Source organism: Homo sapiens, chromosome 5 (genome assembly GCF_000001405.40).
Source record: "Homo sapiens chromosome 5, GRCh38.p14 Primary Assembly".
NCBI classification, from domain to species: domain Eukaryota; kingdom Metazoa; phylum Chordata; class Mammalia; order Primates; family Hominidae; genus Homo; species Homo sapiens.
The window spans coordinates 1,982,273-2,005,354 of record NC_000005.10 but is presented as its reverse complement, the minus strand read 5'-3'; the positions used below and the strand labels follow the sequence as shown (position 1 = coordinate 2,005,354).

General features: G+C 43.6%; 1 long non-coding RNA gene across 1 annotated transcript in view; it reads right to left on the bottom strand.

Moving 5' to 3' along the window:
- LOC105374618 (uncharacterized) overlaps positions 1–23,082 on the bottom strand; it is a 188,354-nt gene that overhangs the window by 114,032 nt on the left and 51,240 nt on the right. The window lies entirely within an intron of this gene.

Sequence of the window (23,082 nt, the reverse complement as noted above, 5' to 3'; positions counted from 1 at the left end):
TGAAACACCCCTTTCCTGCCCAACATAGGGCTCCGGCACCTGAAATGCCCCTTTCCTGCCCCACACAGGGCTCCAGCACCTGAAACGCCCCTTTCCTGCCCCACACAAGGGCTCCGGCACCTGAAATGCCCCTTTCCTGCCCCGCACAAGGGCTCCGGCACCTGAAATGCCCCTTTCCTGCCCCACACAAGGGCTCTAGTGCCTGAAACGCCCCTTTCCTGCCCCATATAGGGCTCCAGCACCTGAAATGTCCCTTTCCTGCCCCACACAAGGGCTCTGGTGCCTGAAATACCCCTTTCCTGTCCCACACAAGGGCTCTAGTGCCTGAAACGCCCCTTTCCTGCCCCCACACAAGGGCTCTAGCACCTGAAATGCCCCTTTCCTGCCCCACACAAGGGCTCTGGCACCTGAAATGCCCCTTTCCTGCCCCACACAAGGGCTCTGGCACCTGAAATGCCCCTTTCCTGCCCCACACAAGGGCTCTAGTGCCTGAAACGCCCCTTTCTTGCCCCACACAAGGGCTCCAGCCCCTGAAATGCCCCTTTCCTGCCCCACACAAGGGCTCCGGCACCTGAAATGCCCCTTTCCTGCCCCACACAAGGGCTCTAGTGCCTGAAACGCCCCTTTCTTGCCCCACACAAGGGCTCCAGCCCCTGAAATGTCCCTTTCCTGCCCCACACAAGGGCTCCAGCACCTGAAATGCCCCTTTCCTGCCCCACACAGGGCTCCGGCACCTGAAATGCCACTTTCCTGCCCCACACAGGGCTTCGGCACCTGAAATGCCCCTTTCCTGCCCCACACAAGGGCTCTAGTGCCTGCTTTGGAATGTGGACCTTGGCATGTTCTCTCCGCTTTGGGGACCTCAACCGTCAGTACCGTTTTGATGCTCTGCTCAAGTCAACCTGGGAAGGGAAACTCCTGTGTCGCCATGGAACGTGTGTTAGGGTCACTGTGGAATGGCCAACAAGCCTTCCCTCCATGCTGTGCTCACACCCTGGGCCCTGTGACGTCCCATTGCCGCCCAGGGAGAGGTGAATTCTTTCTCCCCAGCCCTTCTACCAGGGCGGGCTTGCAACCTGCTTTGGCCAGCAGAATGCAGCCGAGAGTCCCTGTGCTCTGCGGTCCCATGAGCAAGACCAGAAGAGCAGGGGGATGAGCGATCTGACACAGCAGACAGGCCAGCTCCACTGAGGTCAGCCAGCCCCAGCCAACCCGAGTCTGCCCATAGCGCAGGAGAGTCCAGCCGAGAGCAGAGGAACCGCTCGGCGAGGCACAAAGGCAAATCACTGACCCTATCACAGCACTGCATGCTCAATAAATGCTTGTTGTTCTAAAGCGCCAAGTTTAAGCTGACCGGCATGCAGCAGGGGCTGACTGAGGCACAGGTTGGAGAGCCCTTGATATGAGGCCAGACCCAGCACCCTCACTTGGAGTCCATCTCCTTCCCCCGAGGTAGCACCACCAGGTCCCCCCTCTTTCCTCCGCCTCAGCTGCGCCGTGGTCACTGCTCATGTGGAATCTTCTCTTTCAAAGGCTGCTTTCCTATTGAGGGAGATACCTCATTTTTATCTTGACTGCCTGGGCCTTCCTCCAGACGCTTCTAGGCACCTGGCAGTTCTACCCAAAAAACCAGAGATAACACTGCTCTTAGGAGGAGTATCACCGTTGGATCAGTCACTTGCACACATTTGTAACCACCGAGACATGACCAGAAACACCAGTCTTCAGTGTCCCCAGGACATCAGCCTGGCTCAGCGCAGTCCAGGGAAGATGGAAGACAATCTCCCCCCTGTACCTCCCAGCCTCACCCTACACTGTCTAAGAAGAGTCCAGGGAAGATGGGAGACACTCCCCGCTGTGCCTCCCATCCTCACCCTATTCTAAGAAGGACTTGGGTTCCTTTATCATCAGGGAGAGATGAGAGGATGGAGCCCCTGCCCGGCAGACGGCCTCTGCAGATGGCAGAGAACAGCAGGGGAAGAAGAGTCCCTCCCAGGAGAGCGTTCCCGGCACAGTGGGGCTCAGCTGAGTGAGGGTCCTGAGTTGGATCGGGGCAGCTCCTCCCCGGCTAACAGCTCCACATTCACTTGAGCTGGCTCAATCCACGTGTTCATGACCACGAATGGAGCTAGAGAGAGTCCAGTGTTTACAACGTGATTCTAAAATGCATTTCTCATCTCCGTAAAGTGTAGGTGTCATTGTTTTCATTATTTACATAAAATCAATCAACTTTCCTAATACTTACTTTCTTTCACACTATCTTGAAAGCATAATGGTACATTTTTTGCCAACATTTTACCTGATTTTGTTGAAGATTTGATAGTCTTTGCCCATATTCTTCAAGCCACTTTGTTCCTGCATTTGTCATTGATTTTGGACAGCAGGGGTCTGACCTCCTCCTAATGTCTAGGGAACACCCACCTTTTTTTTTTTTGGTTGTTGAGACAGAGTCTCGCTCTGTTGCCAGGTTGGAGTGCAGTGGCGCAATCTCAGCTCACTGCAACCTCTATCTCCCAGGTTCAAGCAATTCTCCTACCACAGCCTCCTGAGTAGCTAGGACTACAGGCATGCACCACCACATCCAGATAATTTTTGTATTTTTAGTAGAGACGGGGTTTCACCGTGTTGGCCAGGCTGGTCTCAAACTCCTGACCTCAGGTAATCTGCCTGCCCAGCCTCCCAAAGTGCTGGGATTACAGGCATGAGCCACCATGCCCGGCCCACCTTCTGAAGCCTAGGGGACACAGAGCCCAGCATACCCTGGAGAAGCAGAGCTGGGACTCACTCTCCCACTGTCCTGAGGTTGCTGCAATGCCCTGCTCCAGGCCCCTCCAAGCCCTGCCCTGGGCTTTAAGTCAGGAGCTGATGTCACAGAGAGGCCAAGAGGCAGTCGCTGCAGTGGCCCTGGAAGTAGGCAGGGTAGGCAGCGGCTGCAGCAGCCCTGGAAGCAGGCAGGTTCTCCAGAGGCTTTAGGGCCAGGGAGTCAAGGCTGTGTCCTGTGGCTGAGACAGCTGCAGCTTCGCTGTCCACATAGACAGGTCTCATGGCCGAGGGCCTGGCAGCCACCTGTAGCCGCCGCTCCTACCCACCCACAACTCTCCTCCTGACCCAGTTGCAAACTCACAGAACTTCTCACAGTTCTTTGAGCCACTCCTTTGCCTTAGTTATGGATTTAACTGCGTCCCCCAAAATTCATACATTGAAGTCCTAACCCCAAGGACTTTGGAATGTGACTGTATTTGGAGATGGGGTCTTAGGGAAGTAATTAAGATTCAGTTTGTTCATTAATGTTGGTCCTGTGGTAGACACTGCTAGGATGGGTGTCCTTATAACAAGAGGTGAAAGGCCGGGCACAGTGGCTCACGCCTGTAATCCCGGTACTTTGGGAGGCCGAGGCGGGTGGATCACGAGGTCAGGAATTCAAGACCATCCTGGCCAAGGTGGTGAAACCCCATCTCTACTGAAAATACAAAAAGAAAAATCAGCCTGGCTTGGTGGAGCACGCCTGTAGTCCCAGCTACTCAGGAGGCTGAGGCAGGAGAATCGCTTGAACCCATGAGGCGGAGGTTGCAGTGAGCTGAGATCATGCCACTGCGCTCCAGCCTGGGCAACAGAGCATGAGTCCATCTCAAAAGAAAAGAAGAGGTGAGGACACAGATAGGCACAGAGGGATGAAGGAGAAGACGCCGTTGACACACCCGGGGAGAGGCTTCAGGAGGAACTGACCCTGCCCACACCTCGGTATCAGACTTCTGGCTCCAAGAACTACGTTTCTGTTGTGTGAGCCCCCAGCCGAGGCACTCTGTCATGGCAGCCAGGCTGAGCAGGATGCCTTCAGGTGAAGTCCTGCTGCTCACTGACCACCCGGCCTCAGCCCTCCTGCTTGCAGCTGCAGAACCAGCACTCTGTTGACTACTGACCGTGGCCAGGTGCTTCCTCTCCCCACCAGCGTCCTCCCCCATCACAGGAAGTAACAAGCCTTCATGCCCAGCGCTTGCCACCCTTTGCCCGTCTGTATTTGTCAGCCTCCTGGAGTGGCCGCACACCTTCATGCTACGGCTCTAGGAGTTCCGGAATTCCAACTTTCTTCCCTGACCACCTCTTTAATACGCCTTAAGTTTGATTTTTCTTCTAAGTTTTATGTTTTCTCTTCAAAAAATCACTTTCCACCGAATTTCCTTCATCCTCCTCCCCCTCCCTGCTCCATCCCAGGAACCGCCCCACCCCATTACCGAACCAGCAGGCTGTTTTCAGCAAGACCCTAGTTAGGTGTGAGGCTGCTGCCCCCCACCCACATGGCCTCTTCGAGGACTTCAACCCAGCTGTGGTGTGGTCCTGCGGGTCCTAACAAGTCCGCAGGAGTCGTGTCCTACAAGACGCCCCTCCATCTGTCCTGGGGTCAGTCCTGTTTCCCTGCAGGCTGTGCCGTAACACCTCCAGGTGAAGGCGGACCTGATGTCCAGGTGTGAGCACTGTGCTCTCGGAGCCAGTGGGAACCGGCAGAATGGAAACGAGTTAGCTAGTTGGGAGAGTGTCTGCTTAACGCAGGTCTTCCCCTCTGGACAGGATTTTGGAGGGTGTTGCTTGCTGATGACAGGTGGCCAACCCCTTTGTGGGGCGGAACTTCCCACGAGTGGAGGAGAGGGTGCACCCAGCCTCGGGGAAGCTGGGGAGAGGAGTCTTTCTCCATGCCTGCAAGGGGTCGGCTTAGACTCTTGGTGTGAGCACACCCGAGGGAACTGCTGCCCTGAACATTGCACTGAGAGGTGGCACAAAGGGGCAGGAACAGTTGAGATCTGCCCCAAGGCTCCCCACCATTGAAGCCTGGTCCTCAGCCACCCATGGCTGCTGTGACCCTGTTCACCAGCCACCCGCCATTAGACTGCGTTTGCCATCTTTTCTAAGTAAAAAAACAATGATAGTATTAGTAGGTTACCCCTGCCTCTGACCCATATAACACAAGGTCAAGACTTACACGTATGAAATATAGAGATGTAGGAATCCTTATGCGCCATCAACATTCGAGCCTAGAGTCTACTCCAACGCCACACTAAATGAGTGAGATAATCACCTGAGTAAATTGTGCATAATTTAGAAATATTGTCATAAAGAAATGCCTGTTCTGCTATTGATCTGCTAAATTTTATTTTTGCTTTTCTGAATTTAACTTTTTAGGCTGAAAATTGGATAGAGTGTGTCTCGTTTCCAGTCCAGCAGATTTCATCTATTGATTCATGCACATCATTTTGTCAAAATCCTTCTAAAGTTCTTTGCTGAACCCACTTTTTGCTTGTCTCCTCTACTTCGGTTTCAGGTCAGCAGAAAGCACACCAGCTGTGAAATTAGCCTGCATGCCCGCACATTAGCGCACTCCGAGTAGGAGGGGCAGATGTGGCAGCAGGATCAGGTACCATCGTCCCCTTCCTGGCATATGCCTCCTTCTTTAAAGCTTATACATGAGACTGAAATTTTCCCATAATTACCTCACCACAAAGGTGAGTTTGTTTGGAAAGTTTCAGCAAAGCCTGCTTGTCTGTCTTGCTATTTTGCAAGACTAAAAAAGGACAATGGAGATGAAGAAAATGTGCATGTGAATAACTGGCAGGAGCCTTCCTTTAAGTCAAAACCGTGCAGGGGTGCAGAATTCAGAGAGAAAAATATGGACAAATTAACTTATTAAAACCACAAGAAATGTGCTTCTATTTTATGCTCTGATTAAGACTTTTACCAAAACATTTCAAGCCAATTAAAAATATAATTTTCATTCTACTGCCCCTGAAGGATGGGTGGTGAGCTGAGCTCTGAAGGATTTCACAGGAGGCACCTCTCAGCCTCCACACGTTCTCATGCAGCAGGTGGTAAGCAAGATCTGAAAATAATTGCCGGATAGAATGTTTACAAAGAAAATCTCATGAATGAGTTAAGTTGGGTTTCTATTGAAGGGTACTGATTTTATTTTCATTGTTCTTGGAGAGCTTCTGGGGGGATGAGATGAGGTTTTAAAGATGGTGCTGCTTCTACTCTGAAGTCTCACCATGGTTAGAATGCAAAGGAAGAGTCCAGTGACTGTAGCCACCTCCTGCCTGTCACTCTGACCCTCTTCCATGGAGGAGACCTGGCCATAGTTCCCTAATCCTTTCCTAAGTGTCATCCTCTCCTCCGTGTTTAGAGCGAGACGCTTATTCTAGGTCAACCACAGTGATGAATATTTTGCATTTCCCTGAACTTCCTCCAAGTCTGTCTTCCAGAGTTGCATCAGGAAAACCACAAAAGAAATGCAATAAACTTTCACATCTGCATCCAAAATTCTTTTCTGGATTTAACACATTGATATATTAACTGTCCTCTTTGTTCTTCTTTTCTGACATGCTCATTCATGTCTCTGTGTTATACACAGTTCCCTTCAAGTCACTTGGTCTCACACATCCCCCGTTAAAATGTTGTCTGACATGCTTGTCCTGCTGAACCACTCCTGGATGATACAAAATATTTGTGCAAGACCTGGACAACTGTGCTCTTCATTTTCCAAAAGCAGTACATTTTCATGAAGGGATCCTCATGACCTTTGCCCATGACCATTCTATAATGATCATCATGCCCTTCATTCATGGCCATCACTCATGATCACTGCCCATGACAATTGCCTATGAACTTCACTGACAGCCATTGCCCAGAACCATCACCAGGACTTTCATCCAAGGCCTTCATCATGACTTTCTCTTGTGACCATCACCATGGCCATCACCCATGACCATCACCAGTCACCATTGCCCAAGGTCACCATCCATGAGCTTCACCATGACCCTCATTGTGACCTCCCACAGCCATCACTGCGACCTTCACCTACAACCATCACCAATCTCCATTGCCTATGACCATCACCCACAGCCTTTGCCATGACCCTCACTGTGACCTTCACCCATGGCCATCACCAATCACCACTGCCCAAAGCCACCATCCATGAACTTCACCATGACCCTCACTGTGACCTCCCACAGCCATCACCATGATGTTTACCCATGACTATCGCCAATCACCATTGCCCATAGCCATCATCCATGACCTTCACCATTACCCTCACTGTGACCTTCTCCCACAACCATTACCATGACCTTCACCTATGACCCTCATCCATGGTCATCACAGATAATCAGCACCCATGACCCTTGCTCATGACTCACCCACAACCATTGCCCATGGTCATTGCTGTGACTTTCACCCATGACTGTCACCTAATACTATTGTTCACAACCATTGACCATGACCATCTCCCATGACCATGGGCCATGACTGAAGAAGTACCCCTTGTGTCACTGAAATTCCTCCATTTGAAGGACACAATCTATGACAACAAGATAGATCTGGAATCTAGGACAAATCATTCTTAGAATGAAAATTGATGCAAACACTTTAACTGAAAGAGAGGGACAGATGTCAGCTATGATACAGGAAGTGAAGCAAGCTGTCTACATAGCCACTTCCTCTCTTGGTGCCCCACAGCTCTTAGGCATCTGCTGAAAACCTCAGGCAGAGTATGTGCCAGCCTCAAACGGGTTGCTGCCATGTCGATGTGCACCTGCCTCTCGCCCAGCACATCTAGCCAATGGCAACAGGAGCCTGGGTGCAACAGTCCCCACGGGTGCAGAAGTTTGGAAGATTTGCTTCCATTTACCATAAAATTCAGACACCCGCTTGAACATTTCACCTAAAAAGAATTAGGTTTAATTCATAATATATGAGTTTTCAGGAAACACAATGTATTAACTTGGAGCTCTCACTGGCCAAGAACCATGAGGAAATTTCAGACCATATATCCAAATACCTACCTTGTCCATTAAAATAATTGACAATGGTCATGATAAAAATTTGTACATATTTTGCTTTTTTTTTAAATACTCAGTTTTCATCAGCTCAGTACTACAGCAATTTGCCACAACTTGAAAATCTTAATCTTGGTTTTTGGATTTCAACAACCCTCCCAGTTGAGCTGCATGCTATATTTACTGTCTTTCTAATGGCGTAGTCCTCATTTTCTCAAATCTCTTCCTTTGGGCTGGTATGTCTGATTTTTAACCCTTGCAATGTCATACTTTCCTTTCTCTCCCACCCATGAGGGCAGGTGGATAAATTGAAAAATCACGCCCTGGCGAAGCTCCTCACCTTCACTTGCTCTATTTATTGATTATTTTTTATTGTTTCTCTTTGGAGTCTGATTACGTCCTGCAGAAGAAACATGACTTCTTGACCTGAAACACGAGACAGGGAGTTGATGATTTGGGGGTAAGTGCAGGCTCGCCTCTTCTTCCATCCAACCATTCTCAAAGGTAGACGGTGAGAAGCAGTTGTCAAAATGAATTCTAAAGTCATACATGACGTTAGCATATTAATACATATCTTAGCATGCATGTATAAATATATGCTTGTGTGTATACGTGTGTGGCTGTGCCTGCATAGATATGCTAATCATGTATATATGTGTATGAGTGTGATAGATAAATTTTGTTCTGTTTGTGTCCAGATGTATCCTTGATGTAAAAACTTTATCTGCCAAAGTAGGATAAAAGAAGTTATGATTGCTTAGATATTGAAGGTTTCATAAAAGAAACAATATTTTGTGACTTCTTCTTTACTATGATGAAATATATAACACACAAATATTAAAGTTACAGCTTTAATATTTAACCGGTGGTCAGCCTACTGAGATGTGCTTCTCATTTCCACAAGGGCCCTGGTACAAGCAGAGACTCGTTTTAATAGACATCACGCATTAAAAAGGGGAGGACTGTTAAGTCACGATTCAGCTAAGAGCCACGGGGCACAATATGTTCTGTGGGTCAAATGCACACGTCCTCAAGGAACAGGTGCACTAGAACAGCGTCTTTGTTATTAATCCGGAAATTGCATTTTTAGAACTGATATTGTCGACTACATAAGTCCCTATTTTTCCCCCTGTGGAATTTTTTTTCCCCCAGAAAATCAAAAAACTTTCCTTTGTTCCCTCTGAGGTAGACAGCCAGCCCCCACCGTGCCGACTTTGGGCAGTGTCCTTCTGCAGCCGACACTCTTGTGGAAACACTTGGCTCTTTAGTGTGTCTTCCCCTCAACCATAGCCTGCACAGATGGCCTCTTTAGGGAGGCCAGGCAGCTTGGCTGGCTGTGCCTCCAGAAGACAGATTGTCCAGTCAAAGGGTGATGGAGAAAGTGTGGGGCGCCCATGACTGCTGAGACAGCGGTGGCTGTTACAGAGTCCTTCCCCACCCTAAAGACTGAAGGGTGGTCCTGAACACTGGATGAGATGGTAACAACTTACCCAAGGACATGCATTGCTTGGGTCTGGTTTATTTTCTAAAAAGAAAACATAATATGTGTCTGGGACAGGTGTCCTTGAATGTTGTCCCACCCTCCAAGTCCAGCAAGATTTTTCCAAAGGTCCCGTGCACTTGCAGAGAGAAAACAGGGGCCTCAGGAACACCCATCCTGAAAGCAGGGGCCTCAGGAACCCCCATCCATGTCTGATGAATCTCCACCAGACTTGCCCCTCTCTGCAGCTGGGGGTCTAGTGGGGTTATTATGGGACAGATGTAAGGAAGGGTCTTGATCTTGAAGGATACACAGGTGCACTGCCCTGGGTTCTAGGGACAAGGCTCCTGGTCCTGGCTCAGCCACTTGGCCGCTAGGCACTTACTGTGTGAGGCCAAACCCAGCACGCCCACCCCAATCAGGCCAGCATCTCGCGCCTGCTGCATGTGGTAAACAGACAGCACAGTGTCCACTGGCAATACCTGCTTCTATGGGGAGACTGGCTAGAAACGAGTGAGAGGGAAGAATGACAAGCCATTCAGGGAAAAGAGTGGGTGTGTAGAGGTCCCCACCAGCACATATGGCTGTCAGGAATCTGTAATTGCATGAGTGCTCTTCAATTAATACTGCCTTAAACACTTCCCATTCATTTTCAGTAGAGTCATTAGCCCATTGGTGAGGCAGAGCAGGCTCCAGGATCACAGATAATGCAGGCAATCACTGAACCCCGGTGTGTTCTGGCATCCCTTCAGGCGCCTGTGTATGGTAGCTCTACAACAGTGAAATGGTTTCCTGTCATGATTTAAATGATTAGAACCCATGTTCAAAACATGTAAAACATTTCTATAATGTTGGGAAGCAATTTGCTTGTCCATGACCTTGGAGCTCTGCAGAAACAATGTTGTTTAAATTTCCTCCAGCTGGAGACTTCAAAAATTTATTCAGATTCCTGATATCATAAAGGGGAATCGGCTTGTGAAAAGTCACACAGTCCTTAACTAACACTCTGACTTACTGAAGCATCACCTTGTCCTAATCCCGCCTTCTTGTCTATATATTTGTCCGAATCCCCGCTTTCTTGGCTATATACTTGTCTGAATCCCTACCTTCTTGGCTACTTACTTGTCCTAATTCCCACCATCTTGGCTACATACCTGTTAGAATCCCCACCTTCTTGGCTACATACTTGTTTGAAACCCTGTCTTCTTGGCTATATACTTGTCCGAGTCTCCACCTTCTTAGCTACATACTTGTCCTAATCCGTACCTTCTTGGCTACCTACTTGTCCGAATCCCCACCTTCTTGGCTACATACTTGTCCGAATCCCCACCTTCTTGGCTACATACTTGTCTGAATCCCCACCTTCTTGGCTACATACTTGTCCTAATCCGTACCTTCTTGGCTACCTACTTGTCCAAATCCCCACCTTCTTGGCTACCTACTTGTCCGAATCTCCACCATCTTGGCTTTATATTTTTTCGAATCCCCACCTTCTTGGCTACATACTTGTCCAAATCCCTAACTTCTTGGCTACATACTTGTCCTAATCCGTACCTTCTTGGCTATATACTTGTTCGAAACCCTGTCTTCTTGGCTATATGCTTGTCCAAGTCTCCACCTTCTTGGCTACAAACTTGTCCTAATCCCCACCATCTTGACTACATACTTGTTAGAATCCCCACCTTCTTGGCTACATACTTGTTCGAAACCCCACCTTCTTGGCTATATACTTGTCCAAGTCCCCACCTTCTTGGCTACATACTTGTCCAAATCCCCACCATCTTGGCTTTATATTTGTCCGAATCCCCACCTTCTTGGCTATATACTTATCCTAATCCCCACCATCTTGGCTATATACTTGTCTGAATCCCCACCTTCTTGGCTACATACTTTAAGTAGATGCAGAGTCAGGTGCTTTTGCAACAACCCTGACACTCTGACTCCTCAGAGGACTGAGATCTGCTGGATTTCTAGGAAGCTGGTAGTTGGCAATCTTTGGAATCTTTGCAATAACTGAGCAGCCATTGGAATCACTTCCCACTGGCTTCCCAGAGCCTGTGTCTTCTATGCTCTAAATTAATGAAAAGACTCAACTCAAGAACCTGTGTGGCACCTGGACCAAACTCCCAGTTAATTCAGTTGTGGTCATTTGCGTAAGGAGGTAATGGTGCTGGAGTAGTTTGGCCTTGTTCCTGCAGCCAGGAGACTCTGAGACAGAACAGACCTCAGACTGGGGAAGGCAGCCTCCAGGTCCTTGGGAAGACCTGCCGCCAATAAACACATTGTGTCTTTAAATGGATATAGGGTATGAGCGTCAAAGCACAAGCTGCTACAAAGTCAGCTACACAAGGTAAGCAAAATAAAATTAAAGAATGTGGTCCAACACAATGGTTTTCCAAAATGAATTCTTCTACTAAAAGAATCTCCCAGACCGAGTTTTACGATAAAATTTACCGATATGTGTTTTACCAGAAACTAAATGATAAAATACAAAGGCAAAATAAATATATGGGGAAAATATATAAGGCAAATGCAAATAAGAAATGTAGAGAAGCCACTATTAATATTAGATAAAGTAGAAATTAAGATAAAAGCATAAAATGGGAAAAGATAATACTTCATAAGGATAAAGAATGTATGAGCCATGAATTTTATTCCCTTACCGACAGGTTGAAATACAACAAAAGCTGTTATAAATACAAGGGGAAGTGGACAAATCCACAATGATTACAGGAACCATTAACACAATTTTAGAAACTGACCAATAATACAACATATGAAACAAATGAGAATTTGAATACACAACTGAAAAGCTTGACCAAATAGATACATAAAAAATAAATTTCCTAACAGAGCATAGAAATTATTTTTAAACATCTATGGGACATTTAAAAATGGAGCATTTATTAGGCCACAAAGATAACCTCAATGAATTTCCACAGCCTATTACAATGGTATTACCTTGAAGATTAAATACATTATACCACACTGTCATTAACCAACAAACATTGTGTGGAGTGGGGAAACTAGAGGCACTGCCTTTCAAGTCAGGCTCAGGACAAGGATACAGGCCATCACTGCTCCCATGACTCTGGTCCCTGCCAATGCAATAAGACAAGAATAAAATCAGAGTCATTGAGTGTGAACTGTTGATCAGAGTGACATCTCTTATATGAATGTTAGGCAGTGTAGGCAAAAATGCATGTAAATAACTTAGGAAGAGCCGGTGGTGGTGAGTCTGAACTTGTGAAGGGAGAGAATAAATCAAAGAGAAAAAAAAGAAGCAGAACAATGGAAAGGTTTGAATTTCTTAACCCAGGAGTGAGGACTGTCAAATATATAATGGGACTCAGTAGAGTTAAAACTCTCAGTCAGGCTGGGTGTGGTGGCTCATGCCTGTAATCCCAGCACTTTGGGAGGCTGAGGAGGGTGGATCACCTGAGGTCAGGAGTTCCAGACCAGCCTGGACAACATGGCAAAACCCTGTCTGTACTAAAAATACAAAATTAGCCAGGTGTGGTGGCACGCACCTGTAATCCCAGCTACTTGGGAGGCTGAGGCAGAAGAATGGAGATTCACTTGAACCCAGGAGGTGGAGGTTGTAGTGAGCCGAGATAGCACCACTGCACTCCAGCCTGGGCAACAGAGCAAGACTCCATCTCAAAAAAAAAAAAAAAAGGGTCTCAGTCAAACCCATACCATACACACTTCCTTTTGAGCTAATGAGACATCCCCCACCTGTTTACTGTAATAGCATTATAGAGGTTAAAAACAAATTTAAAGAAAAGAAAGTATATTTAGGGGTGGGGTCCCACATAATCTGGTTAACTCTAACTTGGGTGGTTTGGCTAGGAGCTGCAAAGGGGTGTGTGTGATACACATTGGGTTCTGTTGAGAGAGGCATCCCTTCCATATGCAAACCTGAGCCTGCATGCCAGGAAAGCTCCTGGTTTACTCACCCTCTGCTCAGAGGAGTGTCCCAGCCAAAGGATGAGGAATAGACAGGGAGGCAACAAGAGATCAAATACTACAACAGTGGAATCAAAGTTCTCATAGATGAAAAGACTTGATGTTCACCTGGAAAATTGAGGATGTTCAACAGAAGACAGTAAGGGTCCCTGTGGGAGGGGGGCTACAAACCTCCCTGAAGCAAACACTCCACGTGCTCCTCGAGCCCTCTGAGGCTGTGCCCACCCCACAATCCTACCTCAGCATGAGCTGTTGTCTTTCTCTACTTTTCTACCTTAAGTGTTTTTGTGAAGCTGAGCTAGGTCGCTTGGTTCCAAACCCCTTGCCCGTCTTTTTATTGGGTGGGGTTTTTAAATTATTATTGACATTTGTGAGTTCTTTACATATTTAATGTACAAGTGCTTTATCAATATGTGATCTGCAAATATTTTCTTCCAGTCTGTGATCTGTCTCTCCATTCACTTATCAGTGTAAGTTATTTCTTCCTTCTATAGATCATGCTTTTGATGTTGTATCTAATATATATTTGACTAACCTGAAGTCTCAAGATTTTCTCCAATGCTTTCTTCCAGAAACTTTGTGGGTTTCAGTCTTTCATTTATGTTTCTAATCCATTTTGAGCAAATTTTGCATATGATAGAATGAATTTATCAAAGTCCTTTTTTTTTTTCATACGGATCATCAATTGTTCCACAAAGGATAGGAAAACTGTCCTTTCTCCATCGAATTGCCTCCATGCATTTACAAAAGACCCATTGACATACACGTGGGTCTATTTCTGGATTCCTTATCCTATTCTATCACTCTATTTGTGTGTCTTTATGCCAATACCACACTGTCTTGATTACAGTAGCTTTATAATAAGTCCTGAAATTAGGTAGCAAAAGTTCTCCAAATTCGTTCTTCTGCTTCAGACTTATTTAGCTATTCTACGTACTTTGCACTTTCATGTGAATTTTAGAATCAGACCATCCATTTCTACAAAAAGAGGGCCGCTAGGATTTTGATTGGTATTGCTCTGAATCCGTACATAAATCTGGGGAGAGCTGACACCTTGACAGTAATGAGCCTCCCAATCTATTACTGTGGTAAATCCCTCCATCTAATTAGATCTAATTCAATTACCCTCATCAATGTTTTGTAATATTCAATGTAGAGGTCATGCACATCTTTTGTCAGGTTTAGCCCTAAGTATTTCATGTTTTTTTAATATTATAAGTGGTATTTCTTTCCATTTAAATTTCTAATTGTTGCCAGTATATAAAAACACAATTGATTTTTGTATATTGATCTAGTAGCCTGCCACTTAGCTAAGCTTTATTAGTTCTAATAGTTGTTTTATAGATTTCATGGGATTTTCTTCATAGATAAGCGTGTTGTCTGAAAATTAAGACACTTTTATGTCCTCTCCAATCTAGACACCTTCTATTAATTTCCCTGAGTAATTCACGGACCTGGCGGCACAATGTCGAATGGAATGGCCGAGAATGGCTATCCTTGCCTGGCCCTGGGCCCGTAGGGGAAGCATTCTGTCTTTCACCATTAAGTGTAGCATTGGCTGTAGGTGTTTCTTCTCAGGAGATTTCGTAGGGTTCAGCAGTAAAGCCACCTGGGCCTGGAGTTTTCCTTGTGGGAAGGTTTTTACTACATATTTAATTTAATAGATATAAGGCTATTCAGCTTATCTATTATTTCTTGAGTGAATCTTGGTAGATTGTATCTTTTAAGGAATTTGTCCATTTTATCTAAGTTTTTAAATTTATTGCTTTTTTTCAAAATATCTTCTTCTTATAATTTAAACACCTGAAGACTCCGTAGTGATGTCATTTCTCTCATTTCTGATATTGGTGATTTGTATTTTCTATCCTTTGTTCGCTGACCAATCTGACTCAAGGTTTATTAATTTTATTGATTGTTTCAAAGAATCAGCTCTGGGGTTCATTGCTTTTCTCTAATGCTTTCTGCTTTTCTAATTTATTGACTTCTGTTTTGATGCTCACTATTTTCTTTCTTCTCCTACTTTGAGTTTCTTTCGCTCTTATTTTTCTGCTTTACTAATGTGGAATTTGAGATTATTTATTTTATTCATTTCCTTCTTTTCTTTTTTTTAATTATTTCTCTGCTACCTGGAACAGCATATTTCCTTCTTTTCTAATATGATCATTTAGTGCTATAAAATTTCCTGAAAGTACTGCTTTAGCTGCATCTTGTAAATTGTGATATGCTATGCTTTTGTGCTCCTTCATTTCTAATATTATCTAATTCCTCTTTTGATTTCTTATTTTACTGATGATGGATGATCTAGAAGTGTGTTATTCAGTTTCTAAGTATTTTGAGATATTCCAGATATTTTATTGATTTCTTGGTAACTTTCATTGCAGTCAGAATATATACTTTCTCTTACATAAATCCACTAAAGTTGTGGCTTGTTTTATGACACATTAATTGGCTCTATCTTGATATATGCTTTATGGGCAATTAAAAAGAATAGTTACCTTGTTGTTAGGTGAATTGATCTACAGTTGTAAATTAAGTCATGTTGGCTTACAGTGTTGCTCATGTCTTCTATATCCTTACTGATATTTTGTCTTATTATTCTATTTATTCCTGGGAGAGCAATGTTAAAATTGCTTGTTATAATTTTGGACTTTTTGATTTATTCACACATTTTCTTCAGTTTTGGCTTCATGTATTTGAAGCTCTGATTTTAGGTTCATAAATATTTAGGATTTTTATGTCCTTTTGATTAATTAATACCTTCATCATTATGAAAGGGCCTTTTTCATCCCTAGTAATAGCATTTGCTCTGAAAAATATTTTGCGTCATATTAATACAGCCAGTCCAGCTATCTGTTGATTTTAATACATATTTTTATATCCTTTTACTTTTAATCTATTTTTGTCTTTGTATTTAAAGCGTATTTCCTGAATTTAGCAAATAGTTGGCTCTATTTTATCCAATATGACTATCTCTGCCTTTCAATGAGGGAGCTGCTTTGACATTTACATTTAGCATAATTGTATAGTTGGCTTTAAGTCTATCATCTTGCCATTTGCTTTCTGTTTGTTCCATTTATTCATTACTCACTGTCCTATTTCTCTGTCTTCTTTTGGATTGGATGGTCTTATGATTGTATTTATGTCTTTTGTTATCTTATTAGTTATTATTCTTTTTGTACTGTTTAGGAAGTTACATTAGAGTGTACAGTATGCATATTTAGCCTATCACAGTCTATCTTGAAATAGTATCATACCAATTCACATACACTATAAGATGCTTGCAATCACATACCTTTCTCCCTTCCTGATCTTTGTGCTGTTGCTGTAATAAAGTTTACTTCCACATGTTGTAACCCCAAATTACATTATTTTTATATTTATATAGTTTGAAAGAGTCAATTATTTTTCAAAGAAATTTAAATAATAGAAAAATCACTTTTTGTATTTACCATTCTAGTTGACACTTACAGTGCTTTTCTTTTCCTTCATGGAAATCCAGACTTCCATCTGGTATCAGTTTCTCTTTGCCTGAAGGAACTCATTCTACCTTTTTTATTGTACAGGCTTGCTGAAGATAAATTCCTTCAGCTTTTGTACATCTAAAAAAGTATTCATTTTGCCTTTATTTTTGAAAGACAGTTTCACTAGGTAAACAATTCTAGGTTGACAGTTTTGTTCTTTTTTATTTTTTAGTATTTTAAATATGTTACTATGGTGTCTTCTCACTTGCATTGTTTATGACAATAAATTTGTTTTCATCCCTATCTTTATCTTCTGTATATTATGTGTCTTTTTTTCCAATAGCTACTTCTAAAGTTTTCTCTTTATACAATTTGATTATGGTGTACATTGCTGTAGATTTCTTCATGTTGTTCATGTGTTTTGTTAAAATTCTTGGATCTGTGAGTTTACAATTTTCATAAAATTGGGAAATGCTTCAGCCATTATTTATTCAAATATTTTGGCAGCTCCCATTTTCTGCTTCTTTCCTTGCCTGTTAGTTGTTGATTGGCTGCCAGATGTTGTGAATTTCAGTGTTCTGGGTATGGGATTCTTTTTTATTTTTATAACTGTTTTTGAATTTCATTCCAGGATGTGTTTAAGTTACTTAGAAATGGCTTGTTCTTTTAGAGTCTTGCTTCTAAACTTTGTTTGCTGAAACCAGAGCAGCTGTTAGACTATGGCTAAAATTGGCCCATTGCTAAAGTTAAACCCTTCTGATTGCTCTGCTCAATGTCCTATATAGCGTAAGGCTTTGCATTCCGGATGACAGGAAGAAGCAGCATCCTCAGCCCTGTGTGGTATCTGAGAATTGTTCCTCTAATACTTTGGGGAAGCTTTCTCATGTGCATGCACTGGTCAGATCTCCAGTGAACCCTTGAAGGCAACGCTCTGCAGCCCTCACCCCACCAGCCTTCTGACCTCTAGCTGTAGCTGCCCTTCCCTCCTTGGACTCCCGTCTCCTCACCTCAGGCATCTGCCACCTGTCTTTCCCCTCTGTATTACTTAGCTTGGGCTGTCATAACAAAATAGCACCTAGGGGGTGGCTTAAGCAACAGAAATTTACGTTGTGGAACCTAGAAGTCTGAGATTATATTAGTCCTTTTTCACACTGCTATTAAAAAACTACCTGAGACTGGGTAATTTATGAAGAAAAGAGGTTTAGTTGACTCACAGTTCTGCAGGCTTAACAGAAAGCATGACTGGGAGGCCTCAGAAAACTTATAATCATGGCAGAAGGTGAAGGGGAGGCAAGCACATCTTCACATGGTGGCAGGAGAGAGAAAGAGAGCAAACAGGGAAGTGGCACACTTTTAAACCATCAGATCTCATGAGAACTCACTCACTATCATGAAACCAGCAAAGGGGAAATCTATCCCCATGATCCAGGCCCCTTCTCTGACATGTGGGGATTAGAATGCGAGATGAGCTTTGGGTGGGGACACAGAACCTAACCATATCACTGGTATACTTGACATCTGAAGCAACTTTTAAGACCCTCTTTCCTACACAACACAATTATTTCAGGAATAAAAATGTAACAATCAGTAGTAGTAGTAATTTTCTTTATGTGTTCTTTAGATTTTAAATAACAATTTTAAAGGAATACAACTTAATTCTAAAGATCATATGCAAATTCAGTTAAATATTTCACTTCTAAAGGAAAATTCGCACTTAACTTTGCACTCAAACACAACAAAACATCTCACAAATTGCAGCTCTGCCTTACTATTCACATTTTAAATACAAAGAACAACTGAAAAAGATTGCTAGAATGACAGAATTGAGTGTCTTGAATTCTGTGTCTTTGTATTTAAAATCACTGTGCTATTATTCTCTATTCAAATCTACTCTCTAAATGCAGGAATATGTAGCACACAGGTTAGGTGACAAAAACTCAGCAATTGAGCCAAGCAATTCAGAACTATTAGCTAAATGCTTTGGAAATAAACATATAGGGGCCAATTTTATAACTGGGAGTTCTCCAAATTAATCTTCATATAGAATGTAAATATTTTATTAAAATATGTGTCAGAAATAAAATAAATAGTAGCTTAAATGCATATTATTATGTAAATCACTGTAGCAATTTCTTAGAATCAAAACCAACATTTTTTTTTTCAGGGAGGAGGATTTGACGATGGTTATGTGGTGTCTGTATTGAGTGGGTGCTGTTACTGTTATAAACCCTCCACAGATGGAATAATATATGTCTTTTTTGGGGGGACAGGGACAATTTAACCCATAACAGCAATGTTGTATTAGACAGTTTCAATTAATGTATGTATTTCAACAAAACTTGTCTTATTAAAAATTGACCACCCATTCTAATCATATAAATTGGTCAGGATTTCATTTTTGTTTTTGTTCTGTAAAAATGCCTCCTTCTAGAAGGATATCTCTCCGATGATAAAAGTTCAGGAAAAGCTCAGAAGGATTTGGTCCAGGAGGGAGGCCATTGTCTGAGCCGTATGGAAGGAGCCCAGCCATCCAGCAGGGAGGGAGGCGCTGAGCAGCAGATGCTGCGGGCTCTGGCAAGGATGCTGGAGGTCACCCCACAAGGACAAGAGGAAGGACACAGCAAATGTGCCTCTGCCTCCCCGTTGCAGTGTCATTAAACAACTCGCTACACCTACCCAGCAGCCCAGAGAGAAGCTCAGGGCCAGGACAGCATCGATGGATAAAGTCCACCTGGAGCATCTGCTGGGCTAGGTGGAGGCAGGAGATAAATCATGGCTCCTCTGATCCCTGCCGTCCAAGAGTTTAGGCTGAGGGTCAGCCTGATGGCGTGCCCAGCTGCACCACGGCATTAGTAGCACAAACTCGTGACTTTTCACATTAGAACACTATGTCAATTCAAGACACCATCTACACCAAGTCTATCGTAAGCTCACGTTTGGGGAATTAAGAAAAAATAAATAATTATGTGGTGCCAAGCTGTACCAGTTTAGATGAAATTAGTAAATACACAAATGGCATCCCATTTTTGACTATGGCTAGACATGGATCATTCTCGTCAAGATGATTCACAATAGAGTGGGGTTTGTTTTGATCATTGTCTCATGTTTGTAAGAGGAATACTTTGATAGAAAGTATTGCTTGCATTGATTCAAGTCATGTGTGCCAGTTAACCAGTGGAGAGGGCAGGAGTGGCCCCGCAGCCCTGCCATGGGTTCTGCACCTGGCTATGGGATCACTGCTGAGTTAAGAAGAGGCCACCTTTGGCTTGTGTGACTTCTGTTATTACCCACAGTGCATTCAGCCTCCTACACTGGTACCATCTCCCTCTTCTTTATCCCCCCTTTATTTTCATAAAATAATAAGGACAACAATTTAATTACTAATCCAACAACTTTATCTCCTCCATTGGACAAAACATTCCTCATTGACAAAATATTGACTAGACTATCTCAGTCACAACAAGAGACAATTGGACTCCTGCTTATTAAGTACTATAGGAAAGTGTACATTTCGCTTATGAAGTGCATTCTAAGATTTTAATCTATAATGATGAAATTCAGAGTGTCTATGGAATATATGGAAACTTAGGAAACCTAGTTTCCCATAGCCTTTTTCTTCTCAAACAATACGACCTAGGAAGATCTGTAAATATAACTACCAACCCACATTGTCACATTATTATTATTTTTATTACAATAAAAAGAAATGAAGAACTCAAAAATCAAAGCACAAGAAGCAGCTCTGCCTTGAAGAGCCCTTTTATTTTCATAAGAAAAAGAAGAATAGTGAAGTCTTCTTCGCTCTGAGGTTTCCTCCCATTGAATCCCTACAAAAACAATGGTCCCCAGGTTTATTTGGCCCCATCGTCCTGGCTAAAGGATTATTTATTGGTAAAGCTTCAACAGGGGCTCAGGGCTGAAACACATGAGGATCCCAAGTGTCTAACAGACAGCTCCACTGCAGAAAAGAATAACTAAATGTGAGTCTTGTCACTACCCAGCCAATATAGACCAAAAAATGAGTCAACTGCAACCATCTTCATCCAATCCAGAGATGAGTTCATGGATCCTGCCTCTGCAACGGCAAATAGACACTGATCCGGCCACCGCACATTCCTCCTTCTGATGTTCTCTGTGATGGCTTCAAGCATCAGTCAGCAGATGCTGAACTTGGCCACCACGTTCATGCCTCCAGCAGCCTCTTGTTACCTAGGGGACATTGTACTGCATACCACTGCTTTAAAGAAATTTACTGAAAACCAATAAAACCACCATATGTGTATGTTGACAGTTCTCACACACATTTTTTAAAGTGCCTTTTAGAATGACAATATCATTTAATAATTATCTTTTTCACAGAAGTCCTTTTAATATCCCACAGGACAATGAAGAGACTGCAGGACCCAGTATGGGAACTGCAGGCTGACACGGCGGCCGGTAGGATCCTGCTTCGTGAATTTGCCCTCTGAATACTGAATGCGAGAGAGGACGGTGGCATTGGCATTTGTTCAGGAATGACAAAGGCAAGAAGCACATTGCCTTATTTGGTCAAAGGCTCAGGACTGGGAAGATATGGGGAAGTCAAGAGGTTTCCATCTGGAATGAGATTGGAAGTTGGTGCCTTAAGACCTGAGACTTTGAAAATTATTAGGTTGGTGAAACGTAATTGTGATTTTTGCCATTAAAAGTAAATTGCAGTTTTTGCCATTAAGAGTCACAGCAAAGAGTAAATGCCATTACTCTTAATGGCAAAAACCGCAATTAGTTCTGCACCAATTTAATACAAAGAATAGGAAAAAAAATACGATGTGTACCGCCTGAGATTTATTTTATCAAAATTATCTCTATGGTATAGAGTAAAATTATATAGAAGAGGAAAGTTTTAAGAAAGTTCAGTGTAAACCAAAGATGATGTTCCGTAAGTCAACACGGTTTTATCGCAGGCCAACGGGAGGGATTCCGCAGTTCCCGGCGAGCGTGTTCCCTGGATTCAGAGCACCGCGCGGAGGGCTGAGCTCCTGGTCTTCGGTGGACCTGTGCTGACTCAGACAGCGGAGTTCCTCCTCTTCTCTCAGCAGACGGCTCCTCTTCCATCCACCACACCCAAAGACTCCGCCGACAGCCGAGGGGAAAGAACTTCCACAACTAGGATTGCCTTGGATGTCAGAAATTTTAAAAGAGCTCTTACGAGGAACAGAAAATGAAGACAATGCAGAAAGGGAAGCTTAGTAGAAAACGTGCGCAGCCGTGTTTATGTTAAGTGTATTTGGTGTGTTCCCCACATTTCCCTCTATCTCCTAAATTGAGAGATTTCTACGTCCGTTTCATCATATTAAAACATTAATTACAGAAATCCTTATTTCCTTTATTTGCCTATAATATTTCTATATTAATTTTTTATAATATTCTAAAATACTGGTTAAAAAACTGAACTTCGATATCGTATATCTTAAATTTTAAATTGAAATTCCATTAGCTAATTTTTAATTATTACTAGAATGCAGAATATATTTTCTTTAAGCAATCAATCAAAATCACATTAAGAAATATACCAAATTGCATATGCATTGTTATATTTAATAAACTGAAAAAGATCTGAAATCTCAAAGGGACCTAACAATTTAAAAATAAAAATCTTTGTTTTCTTGCAAATTTGTTGTAGTTGGTTGGTCTTTTTTAGTAGCAGCACAGATACTTTTAAGCTCTAGTCTTCACATCTCTACAAAGTGCACACTATGACCCTCACAGTTGCCCAGCGCTAGTAAGGAATTTCGGACTCCAGGGCATGGGAAGGAGTCTCTGGGGCTTGGTGAGGGATGCACCTCTCTGAGTCTGCTCTGTATCATGGACCCCGTCATAATCCCTGCACTTTGGGAGGCCGAGGCGGACAGATCACCTGAAGTCAGGAGTTCAAGACCAGCCTGACCAACGTGGTGAAACCCCATCTCTATAAAAATACAAAAAATTAGCCAGGCGTGGTGGCAGGTGCCTGCAATCCCAGCTGCTTGGGAGACTGAGGGAGGAGCATCTCTTCAACCCAAGAGGCGGAGGTTGCAGTGAGCTGAGATCGTGCCACTGCCCTCCAGCCTGGGCAACAAGAATAAAACTCTGTCTCAAACAAACAAAAATGCTGCCGCCACGGTTTAATTAGTGTTTGCAATCCTTTTTGCAAAAACTAAAAGCCAGAATTAGGACCAAGAAATAGAGAGCTTTGATAAGCATAATGAGAGAAAAGGAATGGAAGTTTGTCTCATCACAGAATGTGAGGTCCCACCATGGTGATGAACACAGCATGTGCCGCGCGGACGCGAATGTTGCAAAGTGTCTACCATTGAAGGCATCCACTTCTGAG